At 43.8% G+C, this 18,653-nt stretch overlaps 1 protein-coding gene across 1 annotated transcript in view, besides 2 other annotated features; it reads right to left on the bottom strand.

Moving 5' to 3' along the window:
* The window catches only part of TEAD1 (TEA domain transcription factor 1), a 270,317-nt gene that overhangs the window by 178,814 nt on the left and 72,850 nt on the right, over window positions 1-18,653 (bottom strand). The window contains 1 exon segment of the mRNA NM_021961.6: window positions 1,490-1,745. Within this exon segment, the coding sequence (NP_068780.2) occupies window positions 1,490-1,691 (202 nt within the window). The 5' untranslated portion in view covers window positions 1,692-1,745.
* Window positions 10,028-10,322: a silencer, noted in NCBI's record as "tiled region #5264; K562 Repressive DNase matched - State 9:DNaseU". NCBI's record gives its function as "represses a minimal TATA promoter and a strong SV40 promoter by Sharpr-MPRA in K562 cells {active_cell/tissue: K562}" and the evidence as "EXISTENCE:reporter gene assay evidence [ECO:0000049][PMID:27701403]".
* Window positions 15,628-15,922: a silencer, noted in NCBI's record as "tiled region #9596; K562 Repressive non-DNase unmatched - State 23:Low". NCBI's record gives its function as "represses a minimal TATA promoter and a strong SV40 promoter by Sharpr-MPRA in K562 cells {active_cell/tissue: K562}" and the evidence as "EXISTENCE:reporter gene assay evidence [ECO:0000049][PMID:27701403]".

Raw genomic sequence — 18,653 nt, 5'->3', positions numbered from 1 at the left:
GCAAATAGCCAGGCTGAGATGAAGAGACCAGGAAAGATCCAGACATAGAGAAAATCTAGGGCCCTGAAACACTCTTCCCATAGTAGCTGAGATATTTCATCCCCAGTCCATTTCACCAGATACGAAGAGGCTTCCCTGGCTACAAAGGATATTATGGGAGCATAAAACAAATGCTGAAGGCCTGGGTCTCCTTCTCCCCTGTGTGTGACAGGCTGAGAGACTCCAATGCTGCAGAAAGCAAAATTTTCCTTGTTTCCATTACATCATCCAAGTTGGAGAGGAGGAGGGCGGGGTGGGGGCACAGCTGGTGGCAGCTGCACCACCATCTGCTTTCTCCTTAGCAGTGTGTGCTAGTTGAAGCCACAGTCTCCTACGGCTCCTGACAGAGGAAGTGCAGTATTAAAGGTACAACACCTTATTACAAAAAAGACTTCCAATTGTTCAGAAATAATCACTCCCATGAGAAGTTAACAACCTCAGGTAAAATACTGAGCCAGTTCTCTTTGAGGTTAGGTTATTTGTGTTTGCATCTTTTTAGACTCAGCTACAGTGCGAACTCTGTCAACTCAACGTGCTCAATTAGACAAGCAGAATGTTCAAGCAACTACACCTGCCATCTGCTTCCCAAAAGGTAAGCAGCCAAAAAGTACAGGTCTGCAGCTGGAAGCATTTATGGAAGGAAGTTAGGGGGTGCCCAAACCCAGCAAGCAAGCCCCAGACCGGCAGGTGGATCCTTGCTGCTGCCCTAGGCATCCAGAGCCAAATAGTTAACAGGTCTCTCTCTCCTTGGCACTCTTGGTGTTTCCTTCAGAATGCCTTTCAAGGCAACCCCCAAAGAAGGGGAGATGGTGACAGTGACCCAGGGTGCTAATGCCTTGTCTGACCATTCAACTGCAAACTGGCAGCAAAGTAGCAAATTGGTGGTTCAGAGGCTGATCAAGCCCATGCACATACATGTTTTCTCTGGCCTGTACAGAGTTGTTTTAAAAAAAAAAAAGTGCTGGCTTTTTAAAAAGAGTAGATTTCATATAAGCATCTAGAATGCTGGCTCTTCCTCAAGGGGGCTGGGGGCAATCAAGGGATTCGGGAGCACCAGGCCCCCATTCCTAGTGACATCAGTTACCTAGAGGTAAGTGGCAGTATTTCCTTGTGATCTGGTCTGTGTTCAGAAGACCTCCTCCCCACCATCTGGTGTCTGTACATGCCACTGCAACTATTTATGTTCCTGCCTGGACCCCTGGAGCTTCTGATGTAATGCCACTACACATGTAGAAGAAGAAAAGCCCAGGGGTCCTTTTCTTTTTCCCAAAGGTCCTTTATTGACTCTCCTTTTTAGTTTAGGGTGAGTCCTTTGGATGACCCACTAAAATTCTACAAATATCACTCAACCCCATACAATGAACAGCTCTTGCTGGAAGACCAGCTACAATCTATCCCCTACCACAACTGCAGGTTGTAGTATTTCAAAGGAGTGTTCCAGGCCACTTACCATACATTTTGCCTTCGTCTGATAAGATGATTTTCCTCCTCCCACATGGTGGATAGATAGCCAGGGCCTCCTGAAAGCTTTGCTCGATGTCGGGGCTCCAGACCCCTTCTGCATCATTGTCAATTGGCTTATCTGCAGAGTCACTCATCCTTTCCATGTTTTCGGCAGGGCTCTCACTGCCGCTCCAGCTGCTGGGCTCAATTTTGGCGGTGGGATTTTCCAAGCCGAAGCCTGGAGCCTTTTCAAGAAAATAAACCTAGAAGAGAAAACCAAAAACAGTATAAGGATGTGGTAACCACAAACATAATGCTCTTGCTAGCTCTAGTGCAAGTTCTTCAGTCACCAGCTTTTTTCATTTCATTTTATTATTTCAGTCTTTTTGGGGATACACATGGTTTTGGGTTACACGGTTAAGTTCTTTAGTGGTGATTTTGGTTCAGTCACCAGCTTTGCTTGGATAACTCCTACTGGAGAATATGGAATTTTGAGATCCAAGTGGCTTTATTATCTAAGTATCATATTAAGCACCCACACAGAAATGCAATGGTGGGCAGAAGCTGGATAATCTTCACAGACGAGAGGAAATTTATATGGAAGAATGGTACTCACTCGGAGTTGCAAGTTTGCAGTGATTCATACGAAAACCATTTACTGAGTGCCTACTATCTACCAGGGGCACTTTGCTAAATGATCATCAAATCTCCAAAGCAGAACAAGTAATTTATAAGAAAATAAAGTTTTTTAAAATGTCCACTTCACCATGGCAAGTGGCATCATAACTCGGAAACTCTGTTAGTGTCACTATCCCAATATGAGATCATCAAGATGCAAGATGGTGGCAGGATCAAGGAGGGAAGGAGGAAGATTATTTTGGTATCACACATACTCATTCTACTGAGACAGCAATGCTGGCTGACCTGGACCTATGTCATTTATCTCTGGGGCTTTTACCCTGTAGAATCAGGTCACTTTGCCACTCTCAGCTCCTAGACTGTAACCTTGAAGTAGGGACCAAGCTGTCCCCAGTCCTGACTTCCCTGCAACATCTACCACAAGTGCCTAGCACACCTGTGGAAATATTCTCTATTGACATGGAGCACTCCGTCTTATAGCCTATGCTGAATTCCTGATCACATGAAAACTGTGGGGGAGTATTTCATTTCTTTTTCTGTAGCACTGAAGATCACAGAACCAAAAAAAATCTCTGAAAGATTTATTCCCCTTAAATTATGTATATAACCTATGGTCATAAAAGGATAAGCTTTCCAAACAAATGTCAAACTGGCATAACGTCAATGTGAAAATGATCTAATCCAGTACTCCCTGCTGTCTGGCACACTAACATATCAATATTCCTTTGTTGAAAAGGTATAGGATCATTAATTCAAAGGCCTCCCAAAAATGAGAGAGAAAGGATTGATCGAAAAGAGGAGGCCAAGGGCCTGAGTAGGGAGGGTTTCATGTGGCCACAGTTCCTCCCCTTCTCACCCCATCAAATCCAGGCAGTATTACAACACGGACACCCAGGAGGGAAGCAGGTGCTGGTGGCCACACCTGGCACCAGGGACTGCTCCATATTCCAGGGCCGTTACCTGACAGCAAGCACCCTGTCTTCCTCCCTGCTCTCTCCCAACTGTATCCTGTGCCCCTGTCCTCCCCCACCTGTGTATATCAACAGATGCCAGGTGCAGAAACTCTGAGGCACATGAATATTATATAATTAATGGTATAACTATAACTAGTGGGCACTTTTGGCTTCTTCCCTTCCAGCTTTGTAGACTTGGCAGCACCTGGATTTAAAAAAAAAATACACAAAAAACCCTCTGATTGTCTGCCTTTAAATGCTGCTACTGAGCCATCATTCAAAGAACTTGTCAGCAAAATATTTACTACCTCTTACCAACATATGTACATTTACACAGGACTTTCAAAATTGCCAAATGTGAAGGTATAAATTACGCCACAAGAAAGCATTTTGTGACTGACCTCCAGATGAACTTGACTATGCCTGCGGTGTGGGCCTTTTGAATTCAAACTATTATCTTTTTCGTTACGATCTAAGAGTCTTATGAAATTCAAACTGAACTATACTCTAGAGTCTGTTCTCGCTCCAAAGTAGTTTATTAGATAAATTATGAGAATAAGAATGAATTCTTTGAGCAGTGGCTAGCCCACCTTCTTCCTCTCCACCATACCCACCAAACAACAACAAAAAAAGACAAAAACAAACCAAAACAACACACATGCACAAAACCACAGGCCAGTCCTTGAGCTCTGGGCAGTTCACAGCAGTATGAATTTACTCCGAGGAGCCACACTTTAAGATAAATAGTAGTTATGCCCAGTGCTCAGTCAGGATAGCAGGGAATGGGATCTAGGACAGTGGGGGATGGCTGAAGGGACTGAGGGACCTTCGACTGCCTTAAAAGAATGTTCTCATATAACTGTAAGCCCCAGAGTCTCCAGACCAAAACACACCAACCACCCCCATTCAGTGCTTAAAGTCCCCTCAAAATCTACTCAACTGGTCACAGTCTACCCTTGAACACCACTAACAGCAGGGAACTCATTACCTTCTCAGTACTACCCCGCTTCATACTGACATGTTGAAATGCTTCCATTTATCAGGCGAAAACCCATCTCCTGGTTAACATCTACACATCCATTCCTTGAGAGTATACCCCATCCTTCAGGGGAGCAAATCTCTCCTAAGATACCCATTTAGGTATGACAGAAGCAGCCTCCAGGATCCTAATTGTCTTCCAGACTAGAAACCATCATCCCTCTGCCCACCCTCATGAATGCATTTAGTGGCCCCCAATAAATGGCACTCAGAGGTGGACTTACTTTCCATTAAACTTCTAAGCTCCTGCCCCTCAGAGGTTGTCCCTGAATACTGTCTTTTGTGCAACTGGTGTCAGAGCTAAAAGCAGGCGTTTGTATTTATTCCTATTGAATTCTATCATTTTTAGCCTCAGCCCACAGCCCAAAGATGGGAAGATTCTTCTGAATCATAACTGCACACTTAGTGTCTAAGACACTAAACAACCTCTGAAGAGCTGTCTGTCACATGGGAAGGATGTAGATCCACTTTGGGAAGTTCCAAAGAATATTCCAACTCAATATAAGAAAAAAATTTCTGCTACTTGAACTGCTCCACAAGGGGCAGGCTGTTCTAGCAGACAGGCAGCAGAGTCTTGCAGACAACCTCTTCTTATTATTTCTATAGGTATGAATCACAACTTCCTGGTTGTTTGGGGGAATGTAGTATTAACTAGCATTAATTGATCTATCCACTTAGTAAGTACAGCCAGTTTTAAATGCTCACGTTTTTATTCGTTTACTGCAAAGGAAAAGACCCTGTGTATCCAGACTCTTGCCATTTTTCGTCAACTAGACTTCAGCAGGATGGAATTACCTATCTAGCAATGGGCCAGGACACAGCCCCAGAAACTACCAGATACATAATCCACAGAGTTATACAGGCCTCTGGTTTTACAACCCCATCATAAGATGAAGACTTTACATATGGGCAGAGAATTTCCTAACACAAGACTGGGGCTGGCTGAGAAATGCTCCCCATACTGGATACCAAAATAACCATCCTGGCACTCCATCCCCCAGGTTCCTTCCAGTCCAGCTCAAACTCCACCTCATCCTGGAAACTGGCCTTGTATCTACAGGCTCTGAGAGTATCAACCACGCTGTAGGAGAACCCTAAAAATGTGTGGAATTGGCCAACTGTCACGCAAATTACCTCGATTCTGAATCTATAGCAACAAGCACTTGATTATAATCAATATTAAAATCTAAATGAGTGAATTATGCACACAATGTCTGTACCTGCAGAGCTGATATCTTTACCTCCCCATACATATATATCCTTTAAGTGAAGGAGTCAGCTTTCACTAAATTCAGTAAATAAAGAACACAGTACTGGGGCAAGAGGTAGGAGAGGAAGGGAGGGGAATATATGAAGACTCCAACAGATGTGGGTTTCAAACCTACTCGCCCTTAAGCCATGGAACTCAAACTACCGCAACTACTTTTGTGCCAACCTAATAACTCTCTCAGAAGCTCAGGTTTTCATTTGTTAAATGCAAATAACAAATTAAATTTCATCCCAATACAGAAAAATGATTAAGGGATGGAGGGACTCTATTCTACTGGGTTGCCATAAAGATTTAGTAAGATCATGAGTGAAGGCGCTCTGTCATCTGTAAAACTATGAACAGATGTTCATTTATGTCCAAGTCCATCCTCTCTAGACAATGCTATGTACCTTCTGATGGATGGTGAAGAAATGAGAGAGCTTCCTCTAATGGTTTACTTTGGGAAACTGATTTACAAAGGACCTCTTCTTCAAGGTCTTCAAATGACTGCATAGAAAATGTAAATTGGTGACAACACCTTTATTTCTAACACTCATCTAATTCTGAATTTATTCACGGGTTCAACAGCTTTCAGATTCTTATGGGCAGTGTGGTTCAGGGTAGTAACCGTTTTCACAGAATGCCTTCAAGGAAAGAGAATAGAAAAGTCTTCTTTGTTGGAGATAATTTTTTTTGCTTTTGAGATGGAGTCTCACTCTATTGCCCAGGCTGGAGTGCAGTGGCACGATCTCAGCTCACTGCAACCTCCTCCTCCCAGGTTCAAGCAATTCTCCTGCCTCAGCCTTCCAAGTAGCTGGGATTACAGGCATTCACCACCACGCTCAGCTAATTTTTGTATTTTTTAGTAGAGACAGGGTTTCACCATGTTGGCCAGGCTGGTCTCGAACTCCTGACCTCATAATCCGCCCACCTTGGACTCCCAAAGTGCTGGGATTACAGGCGTGAGCCACCGCGCCCAGCTGGAAATACTTTTAAAAATATGTATACTTTGTAGCCCCCATGTGCCTCAGTTTCCATCATAAACACTTTTCTGAAAGATCCTTTATTCCTGAACTTTTTCCCAAACACACTCCAATAAACTCCAAAAACAAACTCTATGAATCCAAATATCCTGGTAACTGCCTCAACAACCACATTCCCTAAATGTGTAATTCCTTCACTATAACCTACTGAGGCTTCAAAAAGAGTAACATGAGTACAGTGGAGATATCACATGTGTATTCAACCAATACACATTTTATTATAAAAGCCTGGGGGATGACCGGGATAAGACAGTCCAATGCAGGTGCTCTGACACCAACTCTATCCAACAAGAGATGAGATAGGACACAGGAATTTGCTGCTCCCTTCATCTTAATTCCTGTGGGTCTCTCATAATGTCAGTTTCTCACCCATCTTCAGATTATTTAAAGGCTCTTAAGTAAAAGGGTTGATTTTAACTAATCCTCATAATTAATGAAATGCCATTGAACACAACGATCACCAAAAAAAAAAATCATTATGGCTTGTTTTTGCCAGTGTCTCAATATTCTATGAGGTCACAGGAGAAGAGCTGGGATGAAGTTAGGGCTCTGTCCCCCTGAGTAACACAGGACCACACAGCACCTGTAGCTCCAGTATGCCTCAGTTTCCACCATTAACCCTGGAGGAAGCCAACTTATTCATTCTTCACCATGTGATCCCACAGACTTTACCTATAACAGAACTTGATGAGGTGAGGCCTCTAATCCCAGCACTTTGGGAGGCTGAGGCAGGTGGATCATTTGAGGTCAGGAGTTTGAGACCAGCCTGGCCAACATGGTGAAACCTTGCCTCTATTTAAAAAAATGGCCAGGTAGGGTGGCCCACGCCTGTAATCCCAGCACTTTGGGAGGCCGAGGCGGGCAGATCACGAGGTCAGGAGATCAAGACCATCCTGGCTAACGTGATGAAACCCCGTCTCTACTAAAAACACAAAAACAAAATTAGCCAGGCGTGGTGGCAGGCGCCTGTAGTCCCAGCTACTCAGGAGGCTGAGGTGGGAGAATGGCGTGAACCTGGGAGGTGGAGCTTGCAGTAAGCTGAGATTGCGCCACTGCACTCCAGCCTAGGCGACAGAGTGATACTCCACCTCAAAAAAAAAAAAAAAAAAAAAAACTAGCTGGGCGTGATGACAGGTGCCTATAACCAGCTGCTCAGGAGGCTGAGGCAGGAGGATTACTCAAACCCAGGAGGCGGAGGTCACAGTGAGCCAAGATTGTGCCACTGCACTCCAGCCTGGGCAACAGAGTGAGACTCCATCACAAAAAAAAAATTAAAAAAAAAAAAACAAAACAAAAACTTAGTGAGTTGGTTTGTCATTGCTCCTCCCATTTGCACCCCAGTGTCCCTCCCTGAGGGCAGAGACTATGTAACATTTACACTGTCCCTAGCGCCAGTACCATACCTGACATATAAATAGTCAATGAAAGAAAGAATGAACCTCCAGGCATGGCAGTTCACGCCTATAATGCCTAGCACTTTGGGAGGCCAAGGTGGGAGGATCACCTGAGGTCAGGAGTTCAAGACCAGCCTGATCAACACAGTGAAACTCCGTCTCTACTAAAAATACAAAAATTAGTCAGGCGTGGTGGCAGGCGCCTGTAATCCCAGCTACTTGGGAGGCTGAGACAGACGAATCACTTGAATTTGGGAGGCAGAGATAGCAGTGAGCCAAGATCAGGCCACTGCACTCCAGTCTGAGTGACAGAACAAGACTCTGTCTCAAAAAAATTAATAAATAAAAAATAAAAAAAGAATGAACCAACAACCAGAAAACACAAATATTCTTTGATAACAACATGACTGAGATTAACACCCAAAGTTTCCACAAGAAAAGGAAGTGTTTCAGCTACTTTCACATTCCTGACTCTGGCCAAGGTTCCAATGAGTAGTAAGAGACCCAGAGAAAATCGCCAAATTAGGAGGACACAAGGAGACAGACTGTAAGCCAGGCACAGTGTAAATAACGAAGAGTTGGGTGGCTGATCCAATTTCTTAATCACAATTATTGGCAACTAATAGTCCTTCTGTGTTAGAGGGACAAATAAGATTTGAGTCCTTTAAGAGGTAATCTTTTATCATCAGTAAATCTTATTTTGAGGAGAATGGTAACTTTTGAGACAATATATTTTACCTTCTCCATTTCCCTTTCCCTTTTGATGACTGGAGAAGAAAATTACCAAAAGGTGACAGCTACAGGGAAAGAGATATGGGAGGCGGAGCAGCCAGGGTGTAAAGACCAGAAGCCAAGGAGGTGGCCAAGGAAGAAATTCGAAGAGGTGACAAATGGTAAAGCAAACTTGAGTGAGCAGGTGAGCAAAGGGCAGCATACAGACAGTGGCAACGGGACGAGCACTAAGAGAAAAGATTTCTAATAGCCCAGGAGGAGAGAGAAGTCAGTAGAAGTGAGGGCCACTTCAGGGTTTCTAGAAAGAGAATCACATGGTTGGAATGGTATTTATAGTGGACAACTCAACCAAACATTTGATGGCTTGAAGGTCACTGTAATCTTAGTCAAAGTCCAAATTTCTCTCATAGGAGAAAAGCTCCCCTCCAACAAAAAGACTGGGGGGAAAAAAGGTGCTTTACTTCCAAAGTGAACTGGTACCTCAAAACCAAATTCAGCCTTCTCCCAGAACTAGGTGTCAGGCATAATGCCAGCAGTTTCTGCCTAGAGGATCTTATTTAATCGCTGCACTTCCCCCTTTAGTATTATCCCCACCTTGTGAGGTTCAGAGACCTAAATAAGTTGTCCAAAGTCCTATACTTAACAGAGATTCAATCTAGGAGTCATTTTCCAAACAGAATGCACATTCTATGGGAATATCAAATACACTATACCCTCACTAGACAGTAGGATGTAGGCAGTGCTGAATTCTTAGCTCTGTAGATGACTGATATCATCAAGGACAGTCTAATTAATTCCTAATGAATAGTGATGATCCTGACTCACCGCTGTGGGCAGCTGAGAGGAATGTCAGACACTAATAATGGTTAATTGCTTTTGCATATGTAAAGTGGGTTGTGTTATTATTTTCCTACCATTTAAGACACTAGCCAACCTTGCTAACAAGTGGCCTGAGAAAAATACAAGTGAAGATTGGCAGCCTGGATTTTGTAGGCAACCACAGAAGAGATGGAAGCACAGAAAGTATGTCATTGTCAGAGACAGGGCAGAATTCTCAGGGAATGGGAATGCTGATGCTGAGAACTGAGGCAACATGTGCCACAACGACAGCAGCAGCCAGTGAGCCTTGGTGCCAATGCCAACAGGTTCCCTCTAATTTCAGCAGGGAGGAGTGGATAATTACTCCTTCTCGTTTTCAAAAATCACTTCCGTGTCAACAGAATCCCATCAACAAGCCAATATCTCTTCACCAAGCCCCAATGCTAAGCATCCCATTAGAGGACTTAGCATTACCCTCCTGAGAATCCCTGATTAATTCTCCGCTCCATCAGCCCTAAGTACTTGCCCAGGTGACAGCTCAAGAAAAGCTCTGATTGATTTCATGCTATGCAGCTCTGATGGGACCACTCTGCATTACCAGCCTTTAGGGGAATAGCCCACCCCATCCCCTTAATGAATCTGTTAGCCATTGAGAACAGAAATCCTGCCCCTTCCTTTCTCCCGTCACTACCACCAGTCAAGCTGATCATTGTTGTTCTTTATCAGTGGACTCCTTCAAAAGGACAAGGCCACAGACCCAGTTTCAGGCAATCTATCCTATCTGACCATTCCAAAGCAAAGACCTGATACCAAGACAGTGCATGCCCAAAGTGAGCGTGAACCAGAGGACATGACTCGTAGCCCAAGTCACTCCCACCCTGGGAAATGGACAACTTAACCTCGGGAAACACATTTCAACCCCAGAAACAGAAGCTTCTTTCCTGCTTTAAGAGAGCAAACGTCCCAACTGTTAGCAGTAAGGAGCTGTCAGTATTTCAAAAGGAAAACTCATAAGCCTTTTCCCAGGAGTAACAGTCAAAGAAAACCTTAAGACTAACTCCCCAATTCCAGTAGCCTGTGGAGTCAACATACACTTGGGGTAGACTAACCAACCATAATGCTTACTAAAAATAAAGAAAACACCAGGAAAACAACACTCCTTAGCCACTAACCTATGGATCACATCACTTTCTTAGTTGGTACGATTCACCATCCGATTATTATAACTCGGTATTTTAAATGACAATGAGCATAAAGTAAAAATCAAAAGTAGAAGTAAAAAGACATTAACATACAAGATAAATATAAGTATATACACCATTTCAAGAAGTCCCCTCAGCTGCATGACTGATGGAATGCCTAGAAATGGGTCTTATACCATTAGAAATGGCTCCCTAAGAGGGAAGTCTATAGGTAAATGCCTGGAGAGTCATCCCTGCTTACTAAAGGCCAGGTGAGACTCACCCAATGTTACACAGTCTGTTGACAGCCAACTTAAATGATATGTTGGCACTGGCCTCACTCCAGGTCCCAGCAGCAATCTGCCCAGATGCGGCCCCCTTGGCTGATTCAGAATTCTAATTGTGCTGCATCAGAAACGGCCCTCCCTACTTTGCATACAAAAGTAGTCCAGGGCCTTCTCCACCAGCTTCTATGACTTTGGATGCTTCTCTCATTCTGGCCATGCCCCATCTATCCTAAATTATTGAGACAGGCATTCTGGGGGTTGGGGAGAGAAGCAATAGGGAAATCCACACTTCACTCCTGATTGAGTCATAAGCCAATCAACAAGGAAAACCTGAATCAGGATGGCATTTTAAAGAGCTAAACTGCGAAGGCCAAGCCCTGCTCTGGTCCTTCAACCACAGCTCCTGACATTCAGTGCTCTCAGGATCTAATGGATCCAAATGGATTTCATCAGCACTCACATCAGGATCCAAAATCTAGGCTCTAACATGCCCAAAAGGAAAAAACTCTTTCCTGTCAACCTAAGGAACCAAAACCACAATTCATCACATTGTTTGCCTTCCCACTGTTTATATTTTCATTGTTTGTAACAGGCAGAAGTCTGATAGTCTCTAGACTATCAGAAATCAGGCTGTCACTTTCTCTTGTGTGGGTGTCAGATCTGGTCTGCCTTTACCCATTTCTAATGGATCTGAGCATACAGATCCTCAAAGCATACCCAAATCACACATGGATATTTCTAAGTCCCAAAACATGATCATAAAACTCCTCCGGGGCAGAGGCAGAGGCAGAGCCTGTGTGACCTCTACAACCTAGGACAGTGTCAAATAACATTGGGATGCTGGATAAAAGTGAGACAACATAAAACAACAAATAAAATGAACCTGTTTGAATAAATGCAGCTCTTGTGCAATCTTGAGGAAGAAAATCAAAGCTGAACGACTTAAACTGCCCAATATGAAACCTCAATGCAAAGCTTAGTCATTAATAGTATAGTACTGGCACAAAGATAATGAAAATAGGCCAAGGAATCAGATTAGAGAATCTAGAAACAAACTCATACACATACGTTCACTTGATTTGTAACAAAAGTGACACTGCATTACCCTGAGTAAAGAAATTTTTTTCCTGATACATGAGCCAGGTTGATTGATAGCCATACGAAAAAAATAAAAATTGACCCCACCACACACAATAGTTTACAATCCATCTGAAATAGACTTTAGATCTGAAAGTAAAAAAACCAGTAAAGAATTTATAAGGATTCTTAGCAGATTACCTACATGGCCATAAAGTAGTCGAGGATACTTTAAAGGAACACAAAAGCACTAATCAGGAGGGAAAAACATGATAAACTGGACCAAATCACAACTCAGAACTCGCTTTCTTGAAAGAACCATTAAGAAAATCAAAGCAGGCCACAAAGTAGATACTTGCAACACATTTATTCAACAGAGACTCATATCCTTCATCCTACAGGAACTCCAAACAATAAGAAATCAGACAACCCAATAGAAAAAAAAGTAAAAAGCTAATGTATTTTATGAAACATAACCAAATGGCCCATAAACATATGAAAAGGTGTTCAACATGCCTAGTTATTAAAGAAATGCAAATTAAAACAATGTGATACCTCTATCCAGCCACTAGAAGAGCTACAGTAAAGAGACTAATACTAAGGATTTTCAAGGAGATGGAGTAAATGGAATTCTCAAAGAACTGATGAGAGCGCAAATTGGTACAATCATTCTGGAAAACTCTTTGGCAATATCTACATACCAAAACTGATTATATGCATACCTCCTGATTCAGCAATTCCAAATCCCAGGTAGAGATGCTAAAGAAATGCATGCCTATGTTCACCAAAAGACAGGTATAGGAATGTTTATATTTTCATTGTTTGTAACAGACAGAAACAGCCAAATTTTTATTAACAATAGGACATATAAACTATAGTATAATCAGGCTGGGCGCTGTGGAACACATCTGTAATTCCAGCACTTTGGGAGGCCGAGATGGGCAGATTGCTTCAGCGCAGGAGTTGAGAGCAGCCTGGGCAACATAGTGAGACCCTATCTCTACAAAAAAAAAAAAAAAAAATTAGCTGGGTGTTGGTGGCGCATGCCTGTAGTCCCAGCTACCCCAGAGGCTGAAGTAGGAGGATCACCTGAGCCCAGGCGGTCAAGCTGTAGTGAGCTGTGATCACGCCACCGCACTCTGGCCTGAGAGAGTGTGAGACACTGTCTTAAAAAAAAAAAAACTGTAGCATATTCATAAAATAGAATGGTATACAGCTGTACTGTCCAATGCAGTAGGCACTAGACACATTTGTGAATTTAAATGTAAATTAATAAGATTAAAAATTCAGTTGTTCAGTCACACTACTTGTATCTCATGAGCTCAATATTCACAAGTGGCTAATGGCTACTGTGTCATACAGCACAGACAAAAATCATTTCACAGCCACAGAAAGTTCTATGGGACAGCAATAGAATATAAATAAATGACAACTGCAAGTAACAACATGGGTGAATTGTACCAACGCAATATTGAGGAAAAAAAAGATACAAAGAAATATATACTATACTGTCTGCGTCCGTTCATACCAAGTTCAAACACTAACGAAATTCATCTACGTTATTAGAAGTCAGGGTAGCAACCACCCTTTAGGGTTGGGAGTACTGACTGGAAGGCAGCGTGGGGAGGCTTAGGAGGTTCTGGTCATGTCAGTGCAGATCAATAGATCAATGGCTCTGGATGCCAATGCATTCAAATGGAAAAACACAAGGGACTCAATATTGATGATGTGTGTGCCCTTTTCTGTATGTAAGTTGGACTTCAATAAAAATTATTTTAAAAAAAAAGAAAGAAATGAAAAAAAAAAAAAAAAAAAACTGCCCTGTTTCAGTGCCTTTCTGATTCCAGTTACCTTAGAGAAAGATTATTCCAGGAGCTCTGAATACATTTGCCTTTTTTGAATTATGCTTTGATGTGCTGCCATCAGCATATGAAGGGTTATTAGAAGAAACAGCCAATGGGATTTGTCTCTAGAGTGAATGCAAGGATGTGGAAGACGCTGCTCATCACGTCACACAGACTGATCTTTACAAAGATCCCAAAGGAAAGTTCTACAGCAAACAAAACACAATGTGTTTTTTACCTCGTGGTCAAGCCATTGGCCTTTCCTTTACTCAGTAGCCACCAAAGTGCACTGAGCCACACTGGCAGGCCCCTCAGAGAGTGCTCAGAGGTGGTTTTGGTCGGCAAGTTTGGTTTCATTCCTAAGTCCACATTTAGTCTTCACCTCTATCCTCTTCTTTTTCTCCATTCTTTCTCCCACCTTCTATTTATGCTATTTTACAGTCTTGCATGCTGCCTTAAAATGATTCTGAAACATGATAGGGTATAAATATGAAAGGGAAAGTTTCTGTTTTCTAATTATCTGTTTCAATTTAATGTGGTAAAAGCATTTACTGAGAGCCCCTCCCACCCCTGTCCCTTCAGCCATATGTCCCAAGCACTGGATATGGAGATAAAGATACCACATTCCCTGTCCTCAACAAGCACCCTCTCCAGCAGCGAGACAAATAAGTACACATACCTGCAAGACTTCAAGCCCCTCCACTGGGAAGCCTGACCTGGCCTTTCCCCACTCCTCTGTGTTCCCACAGGTAGCACCTTTGCCAGCCAGTACAAATGAACTGAACTCACTCACCGCATAGGAATGATTTGTTTATGCGTCTCTCACCTTTGAGGATTTGTGAGATCTTTAAGGTTTGGGCCCATGCCTTTAGTAATTTTTCCTTTTTTTTTTTTTTTTTTGAGTCAGGTTGGAGTACATACAGTGGCATGATCACAGCTCACTGCAGCCTCAGCCTCCAGGGCTCAAGCCATCCTCCTGCCTCAGCCTCCCAAGTAGCTGGGACTACAGGCACATGCTACCATGCCCAGCTAATTATTTCGGTTTTTTGGCCTCACTATGTTGCCCAGGCTCATTTCAAACTGCTGGCCTCAAGCGATTCTCCTGCCTCAGCTTCCCGAAGTGCTGGGACTACAGGCATGAACCACCTCACCCAGCCCAGTCATTTTTCTATGTTTGGCATTCAGCAGAATGCCTAGCACATGGCAACTGCTCCCCAAAAAACAGGACTGAATGGTTGCCGGAAATAATGAGTCAATGGGTGAATATGAACAGGTGAATAAATATGTCACCTGATGCAATGGAGGAATCAATAGGGTGCTGATGGAGGAGTTTATTCTGTCTCTCGGATCAATGAGAGTTTCTCAGGGAGGTGGCATTTAGGCTGGTCTGAAAGGCTAATCCAGACTCACAGGCCAAGTATTAGTGGAGGAGATGTGGGGAAGAGAGAGCCAAGCAAGAAAGTAGAAAGGCTAGAGCAGAGGCTGAAAATGTAAGCTGAGTCAATCACAGGGGGCCTCATAGGCCATGACGAAAGGTGGACTGTTTCATACAAAAAGCACGAAAACACCAGAAACACCAGGAGTGTGTGAGCAACTCCTGAAGGTGTACGTGTGTGTGTCTGTCTGTCTGTCTGTCTACTTGGGAAGATAAAGGGTGAAGAACAGAGAATGTTATATATCTGGAATCTGAACTTTTAAATCAAAAGTATTTTCAGTATGGTCCAAGGCCAGGACAGTTCTCTAGATAAACTGAAATACTACAATGTGACGTCTCCCTTCAGTGTTCCAAGTTTATAAAGGTGTGTTTGTTTAAACAACCCAGAGCCATGGGATTAACTCTGCTCGGTACCTGATCACTCAGCCATTCTAATGAATGCTCATCAGACTGTCTTCAAGCACTCAACATACTCCCCTCATCCCTAAAGAGAGGCTGTGAGCTGACAACAGGGTCACACTCGAGCCCAACATGGGAACCAGGCTGCTATGCTTATACAGAGACATGCGTCTGCATTTGGCCAATGTGAAAACACCAACTAATGCCGACACGAGCTAATGCATGAATTTAACCAAAAGCACGCAACACTGCCGGTTCACAAATGTCAACTGGGTCCCAATGATCACCAACACAAGCAAGTCCCCACCCTTTAAACGACAAATATAATCTTCCATTTAATGATGACATGGTGATGGAGCAGATGCAAAACAGGTCTCTCACATTGAGATGCAAATTCAGGGGCCAATTAAAGCCCCACCCGCACCCCATCCCAATCCTCAAAATGTAAACCTGGTCCTTGGTTTACATCCAGTTCAAGTTCAGCAAGAGAAAGAATCTTGGCACCTTAGCTGAAGACAGGCTGAGGCAGGATAAGTGAGTAACTACTGTTCCCCCCTCAATTAAACCACTCATTCAAATGAACAAATATTACTGGAGCACCTGCTGTGGGCACAAGACCACTCTAAGCCGTCCACAAGCACTGTAAGGGCATTCAGTGGGGGCAAGACGCCCAGTCCAAGAGAGGTACGGACAGAAAGTCTGATGCGCTCATGTCTGACATCAGGCCTGCGCCTTCTCCTGCCTTCACTTCCCCATGGCCCAGGGTGCTGTGAGCCCTCTCCAGCCAGCAGTCTCCTCCCCCTCCCCTCTGACAAACCCCAGCAAAATGAGTCTGCTGAATTCAGTAAAATATGCAAAGGCCACACCTTGATTAAATCCACATTTTCTACGGGTCCCCAGCACACACACACAAATTTCTTTAGGGAAAAAGGTGGACGGAGTGTCAGGCAGGGGGAATATATTTCCTTCCAAGACTACATCCTTCTACAGATTCTGTTAACCCTGGTAGAGGAACAAGATGAGCTCTCAGCCCCTTAGATTAATTAAAATGTAATCCATTTCCAATTACACGTACAAATGGCCACTAAAGCCCTCCCTCTCAGGGAGACTTCCAGGTGCAGATTCCCTCTCAATCCAACTGCCTAAAGGTGACTCTACGTAGGGGATGTGACTTCAGAAGCCAAAAGTCCCCCACAGGCAAAACAAACCAGCGCAAATCCTCACACACACACAGTTCTGGCACAGTGGGCCCTGACACCATCAACATCACATTGCTGATTAAGGATCTATCTGTAAAAGTCCCCATGAAAATCCAAAAGGATTCCCAGGTCCTGGGAGAATCCCACCGCCTCCTCTCAGAGATGATGTTTCTCAGGTAAACTGGCTGGAGCATAACCCAAAAGGAGGGCCATTATCCTAGGTTCCCCTCCTCCCCTCCTGATCTAAATGATCACCAAGAACGTCCATTTGACCCCCAGTCCCCCTGCCTCCCCTGGATCCCCTCTGCTCCTCTCTACCCCACTAACTTTGCTCCTGTCTCAAGGAAAGGACCGCACCATTTCTGCCTCAGCCCTCTGCCAGAGCTGAGCTGTCCCCCGCCTCCCCACACTCTCGCCACTGCCAACAACCTAGTCCCCAAGCCTGGTTATACGAGATGATATGGGTGGCTTCTTAAACATAGAGATTCCCAGCTTTATGCCAGAAATCCTGAATCAGAATCCCAGGAGACATATTTTTAGCGAGTGTCTCCTACACTATCCCGCAGTCAGAAAGGTTTTCCTAAAATGCAAATAGGACTTTCATCATACACTCACTTGAAGTCATTCAGCAGATCCCCACTCACTCAGGACTGAAGTGCATTATGAGACCCCTGGCCTTTCACACCTGTTCTCAGCCTGCTCCTCCAGCCACCCATCCAGAACCCCAACATTCTAGCTGCACACGCACTCCAAGATGCCTGGACACAGCCGGCCACCTACTCCACTCCTTCAGGTGCCTGGGGCTCTCCCAATACCTGACAGATTGTTGGAACTCAAAAAACTTTTGCTGATATTGTCCTTGGTAGGTATTTCTAAGAATTGCAGGGATTAGACCAGGCGCAGCGGCTCACGCCTGTAATCCCAGCACTTTGGGAGGCAGAGGCGGGTGCATCACCTGAGGTCAGGAGTTTGAGACCAGCCTGGCCAATATGGTGAAACCTCATCACTACTAAGAATACAAAAATTAGCCGGGCGTGGTGACGGGTGCCTGTAGTCCCAGCTACTTGGGAGGCTGAAGCAGGAGAATCACTTGAACCCAGGAGGTGGAGGTTGCAGTGAGCCAGGATCGCGCCACTGCACTCCAGCCTGGGCAACAGAGCAAGACTCTGTCTCAAAAAAAAAAAAATTGCAGGGATCACCTTGGACATCTGGAGAATCCATATGGCAGAGCAGTTATATATACATAAAGAGAATACTGAGTTTTAGAATCCCAAAGAGTTTGAATTTTGATTCCTCCACTTACTACCTGTGCCTACATTTCTTTTCATGAAAACTGGAACATTATTAGCCACCTGATGTAAAGATTAAATGAGATGATCCATGAAAGTATTAACAGAATATCTCAATCAACAGTCAATGCATATATTATCTAAATGCTTAGAGATGAGCATGGGTAGTATGTCTTAACTGTGCCAGACACACCGTAGGTTCTCAAATAGCTGACAACAAAACTAATAGGCCAGGCGTGGTGGCTCACGCCTGTAATCCTAGCACTCTGAGAGACCTAGGCAGGCAGATCACTTGAGGTCAGGAGTTCAAGACCAGCCTTGCCAAAATAGTGAAACCACATCTCTACTAAAAATACAAAAAATTAGATGGGTGTGGTGGCGGGTGCCTATAATCCCAGCTACTCAGGAGGCTGAGGCAGGATTATCACTTGAACCCGGGAGGCAGAGTTGCAGTGAGCCAAGATTGTGCCACTGCACTCCAGCCTGGATGACATAGCAAGACATCGTCTCAAAAAATAAATAAAAAACAAAAATTTTAAAAATTAAAAAATAATAATAATTACTGCTAATATATCCACCTTCTTCCCTGCTAT

The sequence above is a fragment of the Homo sapiens genome, chromosome 11 (assembly GCF_000001405.40).
Source record: "Homo sapiens chromosome 11, GRCh38.p14 Primary Assembly".
Taxonomy (NCBI): Eukaryota; Metazoa; Chordata; class Mammalia; order Primates; family Hominidae; genus Homo; species Homo sapiens.
This window is presented reverse-complemented; position numbering and strand designations above follow the sequence as displayed.